General features: G+C 37.9%; 1 protein-coding gene across 10 annotated transcripts in view; it reads left to right on the forward strand.

Moving 5' to 3' along the window:
* The window catches only part of WWP1 (WW domain containing E3 ubiquitin protein ligase 1), a 125957-nt gene that overhangs the window by 38126 nt on the left and 66036 nt on the right, over positions 1–21795 (forward strand). For 5 of the 10 annotated variants that reach the window (NM_007013.4, XM_024447056.2, XM_005250760.5 and 2 more), the window contains 5 exons: positions 54–192; positions 833–957; positions 17670–17807; positions 17900–17966; positions 21347–21531. In NM_007013.4, the coding sequence (NP_008944.1) occupies positions 54–192; positions 833–957; positions 17670–17807; positions 17900–17966; positions 21347–21531 (654 nt within the window). Of the gene's footprint in view, positions 1–53; positions 193–832; positions 958–17669; positions 17808–17899; positions 17967–21346; positions 21532–21795 lie in introns of those variants that run through there. The other 5 variants (XM_005250761.5, XM_047421282.1, XM_017012993.2 and 2 more) reach the window with 2 other exon arrangements.

Raw genomic sequence — 21795 nt, forward strand, 5'->3', positions numbered from 1 at the left:
GCAGTACTACTTTTTGGCAACACATACTCACTAGTGAATTATTTGTCTGTTAGTTTCTAGTGCCAAACTTAAAAGAAAAAAGAACTGGTTCGGAACAGCAATATATACAGAAGTAGTTGTAGATGGAGAAATTACGAAAACAGCAAAATCCAGTAGTTCTTCTAATCCAAAATGGGATGAACAGCTAACTGTGTAAGTACCTTGTGTAAAGGACGGAAAATCTTCACAAGAAAGTGTATTTTTTGGAATATGTTTTTTGTTTTGTAAAATGACTTCAAAGTAATGAGTGATTTTTTTAAAGTGTGGATCGACAATTTAAAGTATGGAGAAATTTTTGGTTAAATTTTTTTTTTAAGGGGAGGATGCATAATAATGCTTGCTTTTGCTTTATAAACCAAATTATTTCCATTTTCTCTGACTGTTTTGGTACAGAAATAAATAGGACTGCAAATTAGTCATTCTTAATTTTGGCATTTCAAAATAATAATGGCATAAATTTGTGTATAGTAAAAGTATCATGTAAGTCTTTAGACATTTGTTCAAATACAAACAGTGTTACTATGAAGTCTCAGTAAGACTCCTGTGTTGGTGTTTTGGCTTGCTGATTCCAAAAATCCTCATCTAGTTATTAAAGTCCTAATGTATTTGAAAGTAAAATATTTTTATTTATGATTCAAGTAGTTTCCTGTTTCATACAATATTTCTTCTCAAATAAATGAAATTCACGGTTTTTAAAACATTACTGAAATAAATGCTTTAATAGGAATTGTTACTTATTAATAGAATGACAACGTCTACTCCTGTATTTTTGTTAATAATTTTACCCTTCCAGAAATGTTACGCCACAGACTACATTGGAATTTCAAGTTTGGAGCCATCGCACTTTAAAAGCAGATGCTTTATTAGGAAAAGCAACGATAGATTTGAAACAAGCTCTGTTGATACACAATAGAAAATGTAAGTTTTTTGTTCTGACCTTTATTTCCTTATAAGTTTATTTTAGACACTTTGAACATATCCTGAATCCTAAAAGCAAAAACATAGTTTTGTATCCATAAAGAACTTCAGTTATTGCTTGTGATTGATTAACTTTGTGGCATTTTATGAAATAGGAAATATTTACCATGGCCTTTCTGCATTCTGCAGATTTACAAGGTAATCTCAGTCATCCACAAGTACCCTATTATCAGTGACTATCAGTCATTTATTATTTGCTTATTATTATATTCTTTAAAACTTGAGAAAATTATCATTACATGACCCTACTCTATTTTGTCACTTGACTACTAACAATTTTATTTGGGTAAAATAAATTGTAACTCTTAAGTTTTCTTTTATTATTATATAATTAGTTTATTGTAAAAAACATGAAGAAGATAGACAATTATAGAGTAATATAAAAATTTTCTATAATTTTACTATCCAAGGATAACCAATCTTAATAATTTGGTCACTGTCCTTTTGTTTTTCATAGACACAAACATATTTCTTTTTTGCTTTGCATCTACTAGTTTATCCTCTGCTTTCTAGAAATTTAACAATATACCATAAATATTAAGTTTCCATGATACTTTTTCTAGACTGGGATTTTAAGGTAGTTTAGAGTTTAATTATTTGTAAACCTCCTATCATATGCAAAAATATGGGGGTATGTACATATATGTGTAATTCTGGGGAGAGGGTTCATAGCTTTTATCAGATTCTCAAAATGTGTGATCCTCTGAATATTAAAAACCAGGGTTCTAGCTGGGGGTGGTGGCTCATGCCTGTAATCCCAGTACTTTGGGAGGCCAGGGTGGGCAGATCACTTGAGATCAGAAGTTCAAGACCAGTCTGACCAACATGGTGAAACCTCGCCTCTACTAAAAGTACAAAAATTAGCTGAATGTGGTGGCATGTGCCTGTTGTCCCAGCTACTTGGGAGGCTGAGGCAGGAGAATCGCTTGAACCCGGGAGGTGGAGGTTGCAGTGAGCCAAGATTGCACCACTGCACTCCCAGCCTGGGCGACAGGGTGAGACTCCATCTCAAACCCGCAAAAAACCAGGGTTCTAGTTTATGATTTTTAAATACCATGTAATGATTTCTCACACCACAATTTATTTAGTTTCCCGTTGTCTGACACTTAAGTAGCTTGTAACAGTTCACTAAAAATAGGCTCTTGCTCAAATCTGTAAATATTTTTGCTCTTCTTATTTCTGTAGAGATTCTCTTATTAATTCCTAAAAGTAGGTTTGCTGAATGAAGTAAGGGATGAAATGCTGATGATGAAAATAGCAAGTTATCTTTAAAAAGGTTCTTTCTGCAAATCCACATGTAACTTAAAGATCTGTTTTGATCTAGTTTTTGGAAATAAGTGAGTTATGAGTTAAGAAAATATAATTATGGATTATAATAATTAGAACTAGTAATTAGTAGTTAGTATAAACCATAATAATTTTTATATATTTGGCTTAAAACTTTTTCTTTTTCTTAAAGCATTGTAAGTTTGATTCTCTGCTATGCCATGGCATTTTTTTTTTTCTCAATGAGTCATGCAATTCATCTTGATACAGGAAGAAGTAATAGATTTTATAAGTATACAGTACCTTGCCTGGATTATTATTATTTAACCATATTCCCATTGTTGGACATCTAGATTGTTTTCAATTCTGTTATGTTAGACTCTACTGAACCTCCATATAAAGATAACTATCCACTTATCTGCCAAATGATCTTCTAGGAAGGTTGTAATGTCAATACACTTCGAAATGAAGCCCTCACGAATTGTATAAGCTAAAAATTACCTTGGCTGTGTGCAGTGGTTCATGCCTGTAATCCCACCACTTTGGGAGGCTGAGGCAGGCGGATCACCTGAGGTCAAGAGTTTGAGACCAGCCTGGCCAACATGGTGAGACCCTGTGTCTACCAAAAATACAAAAATTAGCTGAGTGTGGTGGCACGTGCCTGTAATCCCAGCTACTCAGGAGGCTGAGGCAGGAGAATTGCTTGAACTGGGAGACGGAGGTTGCAGTGAACTGAGATTGCGCCACTGCACTCCAAGCCTGGGCTACAGAGCGAGACTCCCTCTCAAAAAATAACTAAATAAATATATAAAAATTATCTCTGTGATTTAATTGAGTAGGATACGGATATGCTCAGGAAAAATAAAATTTAATAAACACTCATACAGTCAGTAGATGGCTTCAGAAATTTTAGTAGCATCCTGCACACCTAAGAAGTCGGTAAATTAGTTTGCAAGGGCTGCCATAACAAAATACCACAGACTGGGTGCCTTAATGGAAATTGATTTTCTCACATATCCAGAGGCTGGAAGTCGGTGATTAAGATATCAGTGGGGTTGGTTTATTGTGAGGCCTCTCTTCTTGGCTTGTAGATGGACATCTTTTCCCTGTATCTTCACATGGTCTTCCCTCTGTATATGTGTCTGCGTCCAAATTTCCCCTTATCAGGACACCAGTCATTGGATTAGGGCCTACCCCAATGACATTATTTTAACTTAATTACCTCTTCAAAAATCGAGTCTCTAAAAACGTCACATTTTGAGGTACTGGGGAGTAAAACTTCAACATACGAATTTGGTGGGGGACACAATTCAGCCCCAAACAAAAGGTAAATAAATTTATTTGAAGAATTAAATCTCATGATAGTATCATAATCCTTTTACAATAGAAGACATTTATGGGTATTAGTTTTAGTCGTTCATTTTATAGACAAATGAGTAAAATAATTTAAAGTAATTAAAATTAGATTTTAATTTAAGTAAGTTGGTCAAGAGTATACACGTAATTTCCGGGTTGTGATTAAAACATAAGTTTTCTGATTCTTAGCTGCCTAATTTTGATTAGAAGTAATATAAAATTAATAAGGTTCAAGACAGCCTTGAAGCAATTTAAAAATACTTTTATAAATGATAGCATTCTTGGTTGCCTTTGATTCAGTCTCTTGGTTTAGTACTTGGACTCTGAGTTTTAGTTGGCTATCAGTTGAATGAGCTCTACTTAAATTTTGGGGTTATTGTATATTTACCTTTAAAAAGAAGTAAACAGGCTAGGGGTGGTGGCTCACACCTGTAATCCTGGCACTGTGGGAGGCTGAGGCAGGTGGATCACCTGAGCTCAGGAGTTTGATACCAGCCTGGGCAACATGGTGAAACCCCATCTCTACCAGAGATACAAAAAATTAGCCAGGCTTTATCAAAGATACAAAAAATTAGCCAGGCATGTGCCTGTAGTCCCAACTACTTGGGAGGCTGAGGTGGGAGGATCGCTTGAGCCTGGGAGGTGGTGGTTGCAGTGAGCCAAGATTATACCACTGCATTCAAGTCTGGGTGACAGAGTAAGACACTGTCTCAAAAAAAAAAAAAAGTAAACAACTGCCAAGAACAAAATAAGTAACCCAAGAAAAACATGACATCCTAGTGTTGAAGAAAAATATTCAGTACTAAAAACATTTTTTGTTCCTATCCTTAAATTCTGATTTGAGGGGCAAGGTTATTGATAGAGATATTATGTTTCTGAGGTGTGCTCTATATAGAAAATGTTTGATAGTCAGCACCTTGAATAGAATTGTGTATATTTGTGTATAAGGCTCCAGTGGAGGGATGTTCTGCAGTGTGTCTGTGTTCCTCATCTATTTGCAGAGGATAGATTTTTAAGGGATGTAGTGAAAGAGGAATCTCCTGAGAGGAAAGAAAGTAGGCTGAGTTTTTAGGTGTTGAGGCAGTGAAAGAAGAGAACAGCGAAAGACAATCTAGCTCTTCAGGAAGAACCCGGGATCTAGCATGCATGAAAACTTCCAGTATGATTTCTGGCAAGACATTTTTTTAAAAAAAGTTTATGGTGTGAATGAATGGCAGAAAGGATAAAAGTCCTTGAAGGCAGATTACAATATGGAGCAGGTGACTGTTACCAGAAGTATATGTGGGGGCTCTCAAGGGTAATTTTAAAGGATGAAAGGACATGGTTTAGTGATAGTGGGAAAGTTATTGTAGGAATCTGAGGTAACATTTATAACAATTATAGACCACAAACAAAGTGGAATTAATGACCAACTTGAAAGTAGACACTGTCTTATTCACTTGTGTTTTTTTCAGTGCTTCCCACAGTCCACAGCCAAAGATTTTTTAAAAATGTTAACAGAGAAACTTGCTTATTCAAGTGAAATCTTACCATGGAATCTTATTCTATATAAAAATTTTACTGTATATAAAACATAAAGCAGTATTGAACAACACAGCCATGCACATGCTCACATGTCCTTACTCTTGTTATCCACAGCAGTTCCTGAGTTAATTTCTGGTGGTACCCTGCTCCTGAAACCAGTTTGAAAATCACTTTTCTATAAGATCAAGTTCAACTCCTGGTTTCAGTGCCTTACCGAGTCTTAGTTCAGTTTGTCTAATTTCCTGCTTACATCTTCATACCCTGACTGCTGTGTTCAGCTAGTCTTCTCATTATCTTCTGAGTATGCTTTGCTGGGTCTCCTGTACTGAAAGCAACTTATCACTAATCATGTCCTTGGTATTTTCAATAATTATACATTTGTTTAGTGTGTTTTTATATTTCATTCTTTAACATAGGTGGAATTATTATGGAGAGTGTGTAAAAATTATATCTAAGGTAGCTACTAAGAAGGCTGAGGCAAGAGGATCTCTTGAGGCCCAGAGTTCAAGGCTGCAGTGAACTATCATTGTGTCTGTGTACAGTTGCTGTACCCTAGCCTGAGTACACATTTTATCATTTTATGTTCCACTCATATAGCAGGCTGTTCTCTCCCTTCCTTTCCTCCTCGTTCTTCTTTTGTGTGTGTGTTTGGGTGGGGGGGCGGGGTGTCTTGACAATGATGCAGGCCCTGTGGTATACTCAATTATTTTTGTCTAAGTGCTATTAGAATGTAACTTTTACTTAACTATCCTTACCTTTCAACATAAATGTACTGAAACTTGCCCAAAATTCTTTTTGGAATGGAGTGGAGGTATAATTAATAATTCCACAAATGAAAATATAAACTAGTTGTAATGACTGTAACTGAAGAAACTTTGAGTATCATTCAGTTACAGGGATTCAATTTTTTCCGTAGATACTGTCTTACTGCATTTGTTCTGCTGTAACAAAATACCTGAGACTAGGTAACTTATGGAGAACATAAATACATTCATCACAGTTCTAGGATCTGGAAGTCCAAGATCAAGATGCCAGCAGGTTCGAGTTTGGAGAGGATCCAGTTCCTGTTTCCAAGATGGCACCTTGTTGCTGCATCCTCTGAAGGGGATGAACACTGTCCTCACATGGCAAAAGGGACAGAAAAGGGCACACCCACTCACTCAAGTCCTTTTATAAAGGCCCTAATTCCATCCGTGAGGACTGCGCCCTCTTGATTTAATCCCTTCCTAAAGACCCTAATTTTTAATACTATCATAGTAGTGATTAAGTTTCAACATACAAATTTTGTGGGATGCCATCAGACTGAAGCAGAGGTGGTCCAACTTTTTCTTAACCTAAATTATTTTTATTGGTTGCCATATATATATTAAATGACCCTTATTTTCACATTCTTCCATTAGCAGTGGTCCTGTGTATTAGGCATTTATCTTTTATTGGAAAGATATTTATATTAGAACCACTTAAAGGATAAAATACCAAGAATCTTGTGAAAAAGGTAGAAGGGAGTGCCAAAATAGCCTGTGAATAATAACACGGATTCTACTTTGTATTACCACTTGTCTTGACCATAATCTTGATTTCTAATCTTTTAAAATATATTCTTTTATAATCCCAGTGCCATTGAATTTTACTGACACATTCATATATGTATATTTATTTATTTATTTATTTATTTTATCATTATTATTTTTTTCCTTGAGACAGTCTCACTCTGTCACCCAGGCTGGAGTGCAGGGGTGCAGTCTCGGCTCACTGCAGCCTTTGCCTCCTAGGTTCAAGCAATTCTCCCACCTCAGCCTCCTGAGTAACTGGGGTTACAGACGTGTGCTACCATGCACCACCATGTGCGGCTCATTTTTGTATTTTTTGGTAGAGATGGGGTTTCACCATGTTAGCCAGACTGGTCTCGAACTCCTGACCTCAAGTGATCTGCCTGCCTCAGCCTCTGAAAGTGCCGGGATTATAGGCATGACCCACTGCAACCCAGCTGGTGTTTTATATTTTTATATAATTTTCTTCCATCTTCATAATGAAAAGTTAGCTTCATTTAAGCATCATTCAGTAAGGGCTGCTGTCCAACAGAACTTCTGCAGTGATGGTTATATTCTGTATCTCTGCTATCCAATATGGTAGCCTTTCATCATGTATGGCAGTTGAGCATTTGAAATGTGGTTTGTAGAACTAAAGTGTTTAATTTTAAACTTGGTTTTATTTTAATTAAATTTACATTTAAATAGCCATACATGGCCGCTGGCTACTGTATTGGTCAGTGCAGTATCAGACTCTTTTGTGTTTGAATTGCAAAATCAGAATTTATCTCTGCCTTTTTTTTTTTTTTAAACAACTTTCCTTTCCTTCCTACTTACTTTTATATTTCTCTTAGGTAGAGTTTTAGTTTCATCAGTAGGTACCAGGTTGTCTGTTTTTTTTTTCCTTTTTTCTTTTTTAAATGTTGCCCAGGCCAGTGGCTGTTCACAGGTGCTATCCTAGTGTACGGTAGCCTCCAACTCCTGGACTCAAGCGATCCTCCCACCACAGTCTTCTGAGGCCACTACGCTTGGCTAGGTTGTCTTTTTTGTAAGGATCAATTCTGGAAGCTCCTTGAGTATTTTCTTCATTGTTAGTTTGAAATCTGTGTTTGTTTTCTCCTTCATTATGATTTGCTGCCATTTGTCTTTTATGTTTCCCCTGGCACACTTTTTGATATAATCTAATCATATTGCCTTTTTTTCCCTCTAGGTAGTTCACTGTGTCATCTGTTTGGTCTGTGTTCTGGTTTTGATTGATACTGTTAGTCATTCATTTCTTTATTGCTTACAATGTTGCTTTGAAATTTTCATGTTTTCCATTGTATTTTTAGTTTTCACAAAATCATTTCTTTTATAATAGTTCTTAATTTATTTAAACATCTTGGTAGATTATATTAGCCAATAATTCTTATTTTATTTGCCTAAGATTTTAAAAGTTTTTCATAGAACATAAGCATTTATTATTTTGACTTCTGCAGTCTTTTAAATCAGACCTGAGTTGCTTTTTAATTTTATATTCCCATTTGCTAACAGCCAGTAGACTTCTCTTTTCTTATTTATGACTTTTTGAAATAAAGATGACTTTGTTGTTTTGATATGTTTGGTTCAAAGCTTCCCATCTTCCAAGAAGTTGCATATTTTACCTCTGATATGCTTTGATAACTTGCTTAAAGTTAGAAACCCTTAAAATTGTATTTCTTACTTTCTTAGATCTGGGACTTTTCTTCATTAAATAAACATTTATTGAGTTTTAGGAAGAGACATACAAAACATATAAAGAATATGTGGTTTCTTTTTTTTTTTTTAGTATTTATTGATCATTCTTGGGTGTTTCTCGGAGAGGGGGATTTGGCAGGGTCATAGGACAATAGTGGAGGGAAGGTCAGCAGATAAACATGTGAACAAGGGTCTGTGGTTTTCCTAGGCAGAGGACCCTGCGGCCTTCCGCAGTGTTTGTGTCCCTGGGTACTTGAGATTAGGGAGTGTGATGACTCTTAACGAGTATGCTGCCTTCAAGCATCTGTTTAACAAAGCACATCTTGCACCCCCCTTAATCCATTTAACCCTGAGTGGATACAGCACATGTTTCAGAGAGCACCAGGTTGGGGGTAAGGTTATAGATTAACAGCATCCCAAGGCAGAAGAATTTTTCTTAGTACAGAACAAAATGGAGTCTCTTATGTCTACTTCTTTCTACACAGACACCGTAACAATCTGATCTCTCTTTCTTTTCCCCACATTTCCCCCTTTTCTATTCGACAAAACCCCCATCATCATCATGGCCCGTTCTCAATGAGCTGTTGGGTACACCTCCCAGACGGGGTGGCGGCCAGGCAGACGGGCTCCTCACTTCCCAGACGGGGCGGCCGGGCAGAGGCGCCCCCCCACCCACCTCCCGGATGGGGCGGCTGCCCGGCGGAGGCCGCCCCCCACCTCCCTCCCAGATGGGGCGGCTGGCGGGGTGGGGGCTGCCCCCCACCTCCTTCCCAGATGGGGCGGCTGGCCGGGCGGGGGCTGCCCCCCACCTCCTGGACGGGGCGGCTGCCGGGCGGAGACGCTCCTCACTTCCCGGACGGGGCGGCTGCCAGGCGGAGGGGCTCCTCACTTCTCAGACGGGGCAGCCCGGCAGAGACGCTCCTCACCTCCCAGAAGGGGTGGCGGTCTGGCAGAGACACTCCTCAGATCCCAGACGGGGTCGCAGCTGGGCAGAGGCACTCCTCACATCCCAGACGGAGCGGCGGGGCAGAGGCGCTCCCCACATCTCAGACGATGGGCAGCCGGGCAGACACGCTCCTCACTTCCTAGACGGGATGGCGGCCAGGAAGAGGCGCTCCTCACTTCCCAGACTGGGCGGCCGGGCAGAGGGGCTCCTCACATCCCAGACGACGGGCGGCCAGGCAGAGACGCTCCTCACTTCCCAGACGGGGTGGCGGCTGGGCACAGGCTGCAATCTCGGCACTTTGGGAGGCCAAGGCAGGCGGCTGGGAGGTGGAGGTTGTAGCAAGCCGAGATCACGCCACTGCACTCCAGCCTGGGCAAGATTGAGCACTGAGTGAGCGAGACTCCGTCTGCAATCCCGGCACTTCGGGAGGCCCAGGCTGGCAGATCACTCGCGGTCAGGAGCTGGAGACCAGCCCGTCCAACACGGCGAAACCCCGTCTCCACCAAAAAATACAAAAACCAGTCAGGCGTGGCAGCGGGCGCCTGCAATCCCAGGCACTAGGCAGGCTGAGGCAGGAGAATCAGGCAGGGAGGTTGCAGTGAACCGAGATGGCGGCAGCACAGTCCAGCCTCGGCTCAGCATCAGAGGGAGACCGTGGAAAGTGGGAGACGAGAGGGAGACGGGAGAGGGGGAGGGAGAGGGGGAGGGAGGAGGAGCGGGAGGGAGAGGGAGAAGAATATGTGGTTTCTGACCACTCCCCCATTCTACCATAGTAGGAACCCAATAGTCTACCATATCAGAATAGATTTTGCAGTTATTGAGGTCATTTGTTCCTTTTCAGATTTACAAGGCTAATTTCTTCCTTTGTTAAGGCTCCCTATTGTTTTCTCGTATATTTCATGGTTTTTCATCTATCTTTTCTGATATATTTGGGGTAATGGTGGGGGAGTGATTTATTTGAATAGGTATATTTTCTATTTTTGAAGTTTTTTTTAATTTCTTCATCCTTGATGGTATGTGTTATTACAGCCATAAATAAACCTTATTTACATATACATAAATAAACCCCCCAGACTCTCCTAACATAAATTATTTGTATTGTTTTCCCCAGAATCCAACTAACTGCGTCTTGTTAGGGAGATTGTTCCACTTCTTCACATTTAAGCCCTAGTGAGCTTTCACTCCTTAACCTTCATCTGTTTTGTATAAGCCCAGTTGGTTTATTCCCAAAGCTTTTGCTCCTTTAATCCTCTAATACATTGTCTCAGAATGTTTGTGGATTTAAGCCATCATTTGTGCCTCAGTTAAACTTCAGTTCTGTGTTCAGGTCAGTTGAACAACATTCCAAACTATGGAAATAATTTTTTGGCTCTGCGGAGATGTGTGGTATTTTTAGCTTTCTTTCCCTTATGTCACCAGTGTGAGATACTGATATCTGAGGTATGTTTCACTCAGTCAGCCTCACTATTTCTTAAACTACATAGGAAAAAAAAAATCCCTCTATTGTTACAGATAAACAAAGCTGGACACTGTTTAGAGTAGTCAGAACATACTTTAATCAATAATATGTTTTTGCAATAAGGAAGAGATTCCAGCATGAACTGAACTCAACTTTGATTTGTATAGAGGTTACTGGGTCTTTTAAAAGGAGAATGAAGGAGTGGGGGTGGGGGGTTCAATGGAGGCTCAGTAGAGTCAGGAAAATGAAAAATTACAAAAGCTTGGTCAGTGTAAATGCAATTAGGCCCTTGTGTTTGGTAGCTGGCAAGTAACGAAGTCAGGATTCTGTCCTCCCACAGAGACAGGGAAACAAAAGCCCTATCCTTCCCAATGATTGCATTTTAAAGGAATGTCTTTCAGGCCCTTGAGAAAGACACTCACATGTTATAGGAGACAGAGGAAGGATTTACCATTGTAAGCCGTTTTTAGTAAATGCTCTAAGAAAGAGTAGTCGGGGGCCTATCATCAGGTGTTGGTTACAACAGACAATAAATTCTTTTGGCAGCCTTAAGTTTTCTCAGGCAGGTGCTTTAAGGGGAGTTAGGGTTATCCCTAAGAGCCTTGAACTGTTAGGAACTATGGTGGTGCTTGCTCAAGTCTTTTAGTGTGTGTGCAATGGTGGTAGTGGTGCTGGGATTGTGGAGGAAATCATTTGTGCTGAGTTTGCAGTTTTTCTAGGCCAAGATTGAGGCCTAGTCAAGAAGGTCCTGAGGACCCTGACTAGAGTTTGATTAAAGAGAGAATCTTTGTCACTATACCCATAGGTGAAAACCATAGAAATAGTATAGCTAACATACACATTAGAGTATATTCAGAACTTCACTTTGTGTTTCAATTTTGAGGCGGAGAGAACCACTTTAAATATTCCAGAGAGGAGTGAGATGGCTGCCATTCAAATACTGATAATTAGACTGAGGTTTTTTATTTATTTTATTTTTTATGGTGTTAATAGAACCAAGAACTTAGTTTTTGTCAAGGAAAGCATTTTGAAATCCATTAAGTTCAATTCGAAGTAAATTATGTCCAAAATGATTTATAATGAATAAATCTCTCTTTATATTGAATGGTGGGGAAATACAGCAGAGAAATGTATCATTTGTGGTACTGGACAGAGCATAGTCAAATTTGGTTTTATTTTATAATTCTCTTTAGCCTTATTAACTGAGTGAATTTGCTTATTTAGTTATTTGTTTAGTTTACTAAGACAAATTTTGTTTTATAAATTCACTTACTATCAACACAAACTCAGATATTTTGAAGTCAAAGCTTTGAATAAACAGTATTTTCACATTCAATGATGTAAGTGCCTCTTTATTCTTTCGAAAATTTTTTTGTATTGAAATTACTGGGAGGTAAAAGGGAATGAAAAGTTTTCTGGAAGTTCAGCTGCCTTTCTGAAAAGTTCTACTAATTTATATACACAAACGTAGCGTATGACAGCACCCATTTGTAAATATTTGCCACATTATTAGATAAAAAAATGAGAAGTTTTATTATCAAAGCATTTCTTTGATTATTAATAAGGTCAGATGTTTATTAGTCATTCATACTTCATCATTTATGATTGTCTCATGCTCTTTGTACATTTTTTATTGGTTTGTTTAGTTTTTTTCTCACTAATTCCTAAGAGCTCTTATTTTTTTCTCTCAGTTAATCATTAGCCTTTTTATTTTTTAATTTGTATTTATTTATTTTTTTGAGACAGGGTCTCACTCTGTCTCTCAGGCTGGAGTGCACTGGCACGATCTCGGCTCACTGCAACCTCCATCTCCCGGGTTGAAGCGATTCTCCTTGCCTCAACCTCCCCTCAAGGCTCTTAGGAATAACCCTAGCTACTTAACTGTGTGAGTAGCTGGGACTGCAGGCACGTGCCACCATGCCTGGCTAATTTTTGTGTTCTTAGTAGAGGCAGGGTTTCTCTGTGTTGGCTAGGCTGATCTTGAACTCCTCAAGTGATCCACCCACCTCAGCCTCCCAAAGTGCTGGGATTACAGATTTATTATAAATAAATAAGTAAATAAATTCTGAAATTTTTTGTTACATGGTAGGAAGTAGGAGCTTAACTTTGTGAGTTGTTGAACATTGACTCATAGCATGATATAATGAAAAGACTTAGGAATTTTAGAAAACTTTGCTATTATTAAGACTGTCACTTACAAGCTATGTAACCTAATGTGTTCATTTTGTTTCTAAAAATTCTGTTTTTCTCATACTTTTGAGTATGTTGGCCAGCCTCTAAATGGCCTTCAAGCATTCATACCTTCTGGGTTCCAACACCCTTCTGTAGTCCCCTCCCACACTGCGTCAGAGATTATCTGTGTGACCAGTAGATTATGGCAGAAGTGATGGTGTACAAACTCTGAGACTTAGTCATATAGGCATTTCAGGTTTTGCCTTGTTCTCTTGGAGTACTCACCATGGGAAATCAGCAACCATTGAGAAGACTCTCACAAAGCCCTGTGGCGGGGCACTGAGGTCTCCTCTCAGCAGCCAGCACCCACCTGCCAGATGTGGATGTGCCCCTCTTGAGTTCTCGGCAATAATGAGTGATTATTGTTATTTTTAGCCAGTAAGTTTCAGAATAATTTGTTACTCAGCAATAGATAATACATTGTTTGAGCAGTTTTTAAAAACGGCTTCAGAATGTGGCTCTGAGCTAAATAGAAGTCTGTGAAACATGTTTTCAACAAATCCATGATTTATAGAACAGATTACCTAGTTATATACCTACCTCCTCAGAGACTCAAATTGTTCTGTCTCAAATTGCTGTATTAACACTAAGGAAGAAGGTCTAGGAGGTACAAAAAAATCAGCTTCTGCCTTACAAGAGTAAGTTCCCCTAGGACAGGACTACCTTAATCACTTAGTTTAAATGTTTTTTAAGCACCTACCTTCTCTCAGTTGCTGAGGATACATCACTGAATTAGTTGGACAAGATCTCTGCTCTGCTAGAGACTTCATTTCATTTGGGGAGGTCAACCAAAAAACAAAAACATTCTTTTAGTGGTAAGTGCATTGAAGGAAATGAGCAAAGCAGTGGTAAGGAGGTCTCCTTTAGGCTAGTCAAGGTTTGTCCTGCTTCTTCCCCATCTACAGTGCCTGGCACACCGTAGGCACTCAAATATTGAATGGATAAATACATCGGAGTTGGTTTGTTTATACTGTGACAGAATAATATCTTTTTCCCTCTGACACACACATATACAAACACATGTAGATGGGAATTATTTATGTGATTGTCCTTCCAGTTTTATGATCCAAAATGTTATAACTCAATCTTCCATGTTCAGAATTGTGAAATAATATATACTGTAAACACCCTCCCACTGCAGAATACCTAGGTCCTGGATTGAACAAATCTTTGTGGCGTTGATGATTTTGCAAAAAGGTAGAGGGCTGTTCTTCTTAAAAAAAAAAAAAAAAAAAAAAGCCAGGAGATGAGGGGGTTGGGGTAAAGAAAACCTCATGAAACAGAATTAGAATAGTCTGCCATACCAATAGCAGATTTAATGATGCTGAGCTTTTGGCTAATAGCCAGAGAAGGGAGCTGAGCTTGAACTCCTCTAGTCTACACTCTTGGGCGTACCATCAAACCACTGTAAAATTAGGACGTATCATCAAACCACTGGTAAAAATTAGCTTAAAATTAGTTTAAGCTAACGTCAGAGAATAAACATAAGGGAACAAGCCACCATAAGCAGAGGTTGTCCATAAAGAGACAGATTGTAAACATTTGAGCATAAAGGCCGCATATGGTTTCTGTTATTAACTCGCCATTGTAACGTGAAAGCAGCCATAGAGAATATGTAAATGAATGAGCATGACTGTGTTCAAATAAAACTTTATTTATGAAAAATAGGTAATGGACCAGATTTTTGAGGAGATATATTTTAAGAGAGAATGGCTGCAGGTTTTTGAACACTAATGAAAAACATGAGTCCACAGATTCATACTGTCCCAAACAAGAGAGCAAAGAGAAAAGTCATGCCTGGTGACCAGGTCACTAGGTGACTAGGTCAGGGTTAAACCCTGACTAGCCTAAAGAAGACCTCCTTACCACTGCTTTGCTCATTTCCTTCAATGCACTTACCACTAAAAGAATGTTTTTGTTTTTTAGTCTACCTCCCCATATCATAGTGAAATGCGTAATACCAAAGACAAATAAATTTAAAAAGCAGCTGTAGAGAAAAACAGAGTATTTGCAAAAATTTATGAATTAGAATTGCAGAATTAGTAATAAGAGAAGATAGTGGAAAAATATCTTCAAAGAGTTGAGATCATTACCAATACAAAATTATATGCCCAACTAGTCTGTCTTTTGAGGATGAGAATGCAGACATTTACAGATAAACAAAAATGAAAGAATTTACCAAGAAATACACACTAAAGAGATTTTAAAAGGCTCTTCTTTAGGAATCTATTCAAACAGCTATATATTTTAGGGAGAAGCCAAATCACCAAATTCCAGACACTTGAAATCATGAGAGATGACAAGAATGAAATTGAATGTCAGTCAATATAGTTTTCTTCAGATATTGATTTTTAGAGAAAGCTGAAATTCGTGCTTTTGTAGTTTTCTTTTTTTTTTTTGAGATGGAGTCTTGGTCTGTCACCCAGGCTGGAGTGCAGTGGCGCGATCTCAGCTCATTGCAACTTCCACCTCCCGAATTCAAGCAATTCTCCTGCGTCAGCCTCCTAAGTAGCTGGGACTACAGGCAACTGCCACCATGCCCAGCTAATTTTTTTGTATTTTTTGTAGAGACGGGGTTTCACCACGTTGGCCAGGATGGTCTTGATCTCCAGATCTTGTGATCCGCCCGCCTCGGCCTCCCAAAGTGCTGGGATTACAGGCGTGAGCCACTGCGCCTGGCTGCTTTTGTAGTTTTTGTGTGTGTGTGCTTTCGTATTTCCTTTAGTTTTTCTAGTTGTTTGTTTTTTGTTTGTTTGTTTGTTTTTGATGTAAAGTAGAAATGAGGTCTATGGTGCTACAAATGGTTGGGGTATTCTATAAGGTCTTCTTTTATCACATGGTTTAAACATTTTTTTTTTTTTTTGCAAAGAATTTCTTTTTCTTCTTTCTTTTTTCAGACAGGGTCTCGCTCTATTACTCCCACTCGAGTACAATAGTGCAATCATCACTTGCTGCAGCCTCGAACTCCTGGGCTTACAGGATCCTCTCATCTCAGCCTCCTGAATAGCTGGGAATACAGGCACATGCCACTGCACCTGGCTAATTTTTAATTTTTTTAAAAAAATAGAGACAGCGTCTTGCTATGTTGGCCAGGTTGGTCTTGAACTCCTGGGCTCAAGTGATGCGCCTGCCTCACCTCCCAAAATGCTGGGATTAGAGGCGTGAGCCACCGTGTCTGGCCTTAATTTTTAAATTTTTTAGAGACTAGATCTCACTGTGTTGCTGGTCTCAAACTCCTAAGCTCAAGTGATCCTCCTGTGTCGGCCTCCCAAAGTGCTGGGGTTACAGGTGTGAGCCACCAGGCCTGGCCACAAAGAAATTTCTGTCCGGTGATTAGTAGTTCTAGATTTTTGTCTTGTCTTTTCTGTACATAGATAACTTGTGAACATATTTATGCTGGACATTTGGTAAATGGAGAACCTCTCCTCCCTGCCCAAATTTGTTAAATATAGGAAAGATCAAAGTTAAGGACTTCATCAAAAACGTGAAATGTTCCATGATTGCAAAAACTGCAGAAAGCCACTGAAGATCAGATGGAAGTATTTGGCCTCAGTTTGAATAATAAAGTGATCACTGATAACTTTCTCTTTTAGTTTTTATTTTTAAATTATAAATTGACAAATTATAGTTGTATATATTTATGGGGTATGGAGTGATGTTATGATCAATTAATACAATGTGGAATAATTAAACCAAACTTATTAACATATCTCACCTCAAATACTTATTTTTTTTGTGATGAGAACATTTAGAATTTTAGCAATTTTGAAATGTACAACACATTATTTACTATGTACATTACATTGTGCAATATCTCCAAGAAACAAAAATTCCTTCTAACTGAAGCTGTGTATCCTTTTACCTTCATCTCTCCATTTCTCTAAGCCCTCACTAATGACTATTAATATATAGTCTAATATATAGAAGTCTAATATATCGTTTAATGCATAGTCTAAATATATAGTCTAACATAGAAGTTGAAGCAAAATGACCTTGAGTTTAAATAAGAACTAGATGTTCTAATAATGGGAAGGAAGTATTTGTCCTTATATAAAAATGATAAACGATTGTCACAATATGTAGCATTTATCGAGCACTTATAAACTGTGCCTCAGAAGTGGTGCTAGGGCTGTCTGTATGGTTTTGCATTTGGTCCTCAACACTGTCCCTTTAGTTTGAAGTCCATTGTCTCCATTTTGTAATTAAGAAACCAAGGCTTAAAGATGTTTGAATAAGTTACTCAATACACAGCCAATAAGTAGCAGAACTGGAATTTGAAACCAAACTTAATCTGACTCTTGTGCAGAAATTTTGCCTCAACCACAAGAGTCATCTGTGGTACCTTGAGCTGAAAAGCAAGTTTAGACAATTGCTACACTTATTATTTAAATGTATTTATATGTTCTCCAAAATTTATAATATGCACAGAAGCAATTAAAGGTGATATTGAAAGCGTGGGATTGAGGGGGAAAGAGGAATTACTTAACTAGTTGTCAAAGGCATGCAAAGAATTCCTTCCAAATGTCAAGTACTGAATTAGAGTGATTCTTGAAATGTAGGTTTGATTTCTGAAGCATTTTTATATGTGGCAAAAGCTTTTAAATTAGAATATTCTTCTTTCTAGTGGAAAGAGTGAAAGAACAATTAAAACTTTCCTTGGAAAACAAGAATGGCATAGCACAAACTGGTGAATTGACAGTTGTGCTTGATGGATTGGTGATTGAGCAAGAAAATATAACAAACTGCAGCTCATCTCCAACCAGTAAGCTAACTTTATATGTTTGTAAAATTTCAAGGAAAAAGAATAAGCAAGAAGTATATAAAAACCTAGTTTTTTTCTTTCTTGTTGTTCAGTAGAAATACAGGAAAATGGTGATGCCTTACATGAAAATGGAGAGCCTTCAGCAAGGACAACTGCCAGGTAGAATATTTTATTTGAATATGGGTGGCGACATGATGTGGAACATATTTCCTGAATAAGAAGTTTTATATTTTACCTTAGTTTAGAATTTGCCACACAGTTTAGAAGCTTATGTCTAAGCATGTCATTTGGTTAATTCTTGTGAAAGTAGCTTTTTAAAAAATTACAGCTTTATTGAGATATCATACATATATCATGAAATTCACTTTTTAAAAGTATACATTTTAGTCGTTTTTAATATATTAAGAGAGTTGTGTTACCTTCTCTACTGTCTGATTTCAGAATATTCTACCTTGAAGAGAAACCATGTATATACATGAGTAGTCACTCTCCATTTTTCCCTGCACCCATGAATCTACTTTTTCTGTGTCTGTGGATTGTCTATTCTGGCCATTTTCTATAAATGGATTCATATAATATGTGACCTTTTGTGACTGACTTCTTTTTCTTAGCATGTTTCAAGGTTCATTTATGTTGCAGCATATACAGTGCTTTATTTTTTTTATTGAAAATGGCTTTTTAAAATCTGTATTTAGACATATTTTATGAGTACAGTCAGATACTATGGATAAATAGGTATCATACCGCTCTCTGGATTGGCATTATCCTGTAAATCATGAGAAGATAAATGCTTCACAGATTGTGGCCTTCCTTCAGACATCATTGTGGCCTTCCCTCAGACATCATTCTACCATTTCAGAAACTCCCTGGCATTCACAGTTCATGACAATTAATAGAGGTTTTTTGTTTGAAGTAATTTAAATTGGAATAAAATAATAGAGCAAATAAAGTAGAATTAACACCTGAAAATATAAAAATATATTGTGGTAAAATGGACTCATTACCTTTGAAAAAGCATGCTAGTATATGACAAAGTGTGACTTTTATTAATCTATAGTTACTAGTATCGTTTCTTCTAAGTTGCCGTTAAGTGATTCTCATTAGACCACTTGAACAGATAAGTATGCCTTCTGAATGTATATTTGGCTTAAGTACATATATTTAATGTCCATATAATTTAAAAAAATTTAGATGGATAGAGGAGCTTGAATTACTACCAAATGTTGTCAATTGCATAGTAAGACGCTTTGAATTAAAGATTAGTTCTACAGTACGGGGAGAAATTCAAATGGGTTCTTTTACCTAGACTTCTGAATCACTGATTCTTGCTGGTTGGCTGGGGAGGGGTATACAAATCACAATCATTTCAGTCTTTACCTGCCCAAACTTCCTAAACACATCTTGTTCCAAATATATAGGCAACAAGGGAAAGGAGGGTGGGATTCATTAATGTTCATTCAACAGATAGTTACTTAATGCCTGTTTGATGCCAGACATTAGTCCAAGTATTAAGAATACCAGCCCTGATCCCATGAAATTTACATTCTGATGGGATAAAGGTAGATAGTAGACTGGGCATGGTGGCTCATTCCTGTAATCCCAGTACTTTGGGAGGCCGAAGCGGGCAGATCATGAGGTCAGGAGTTCGAGACCAGCCTGGCCAACATGGTGAAACCCCGTCTCTACTAAAAATACAAAAAAAATGAGCCAGGCATGGTGGTGCGCACCTGTAATCCCAGCTACTCAGGAGTCTGAAGCAGGAGAATTGCTTGAACCCGGGAGGCGGAGGTTGCAGTGAGCTGAGATCGCGCCATTGCACTCCAGCTCTGGGCGACAGAGCAAGACTTCGTCTCGGGGGGAAAAAAATAAATAAATAAAGATAGTAAACAACAGAAGACATAAATATGCTAATTAGACATAGCGATAAGCACTATGAAGTCATTTAAACAGGACAAGATGACAGGAATGGAAGGGAGCCTATTTTTAAAAGAGATGCCAAGGAATCATCTCTGAGGAGGTATGATTTGAGCTAAGATTAATAAGCCACAAATGAACCATCTGTGCAGAGTTCTGAGGGAAGAATGTTCCAGACAGAGGAAACAGCAACTTCAGAGACCCCAAGTTTGTTTACAGTTATGTTCTAGAAATTCTTCTAACTCTAGAGAATAATATTTAACCTTTTCTGATAATTTCATAGTTGTATAATTTTACCACCTGGCATATAATAATTTGTAATAAACATTTGAAGACTGTTCAGTATGTTTTTGATATTCAGTAAAATCGATTATCTGCTGCAAAGTGAGCAAGGATGAGCTTGGAGAGAAATAGGTTAGAGAGAAGATGGGATAAAGGTGTGGCTGATTTTCAAAAGATTTGTTGGCTAACCAGGAGAGTGACGTGATGACCTGGTTTATATTTTTAAAACAATGCTCAGGCTGCTCTGTGGAGAGCAGTTATGGGATGACCTGTGTATTTGGAAAAGCTCTCCTGGTCACTTACATGATAATTTCCAATTGCTTTGAACTTTTTTTGTTTTTTTTTTTTTTAAACACTGTGTCTCACCAAATCGCCCAGCTCCTTCCACTGCCAATAAGACTTAAAATGTTTGATTTTGTTGTTAGTTATTTATTTGCTGATGTATATACTATACATTTTTATAGTTCTGGGGTATAATATTTAGCTTTTTTTGATCATCCTGTAGTCATGATTTTAGTGCCTAGTATATGCTAATTTGTAACTAATATTTGAAGACTGTTTTTCACTTATTTTTCAAGATTTAATAAAGTTATAATAGTTTCAGGCCAGGTACAATGGCTCACACCTATAATCCCAGCACTTTGGGGGTCAAGATGGGAGGATCGCTTGAGGCCAGGAATTTGAGACCAGCCTGGGCAACAAAGGGAGATCCAGTCTCTACAAAAATTTAAAAAATTAGCTGGGCACTGTGATGCACGTCTGTGATCCTAGCTGATCAAGAGGCTGAGGCAGGAGGATTACTTGAGCCTAAGAGGTTGAAGCTGCAGTGAGCCACTGCACTCCAGCCTTGGTGACAGAGTGAGATCCTGTCTCTAAAAAAAAAAAAAAAAGTTTACAGTAGTTTATACTTGATTTTTATTTTTATGATTCATATAATTTCATGAACTTTTTGAAACTACTTTCAGAGCTTTTAAAATAGATTAATATTAGGCTTAAATATTTAAAATGTACAATTTGAATATTATTGTGGGAGACCGTATTTATTTTGACTTAGTATGTTTGTATATCTCAGTATTTTTTTATCTGCAGAATGAATACACTTAGAACTGAAAAGTAATTAAAACTTTAATATAAAACATGTCATATCTTTGTTCATTACTCTATTTACCTATCATTTTACTTGAAACATAAAAACTCAATTGTTTGGAAATAGAATCTAAAAAATTTTAAAAAAGAAATAACAAAAAAGAAACTTAAGAGAATTTAGTAAATCCTATGAAAATTCTCATGAAATGTTGTTGAATTATACTTAAATGATTGAAATAAGGCATTTTTTTTTCAAGGTTGGCTGTTGAAGGCACGAATGGAATAGATAATCATGTACCTACAAGCACTCTAGTCCAAAACTCATGCTGCTCGTATGTAGTTAATGGAGACAACACACCTTCATCTCCGTCTCAGGTTGCTGCCAGACCCAAAAATACACCAGCTCCAAAACCACTCGCATCTGAGCCTGCCGATGACACTGGTAAGCAAGGCTATTTATGACACCTTGTTTAAAGGAAAAGTAAATGAAGTTTATGTATCCATCCATGCCTACACTTCCCTTTTTGTGTAGTCTTTTTTTTGAGACGGAGTCTCGCTCTGTCACCCAGGCTGGAGTGCAGTGGTGCGATCTCGGCTCACTGCAACCTCTGCCTCTTGGGTTCAAGCGATTCCCCTGCCTCAGCCTCCCAAGTAGCTGGGATTACAGGCACCCACCACCACAACCAGCTAAAAAGTTTTTGTATTT

Source organism: Homo sapiens, chromosome 8, assembly GCF_000001405.40.
Source record: "Homo sapiens chromosome 8, GRCh38.p14 Primary Assembly".
NCBI lineage: Eukaryota > Metazoa > Chordata > Mammalia > Primates > Hominidae > Homo > Homo sapiens.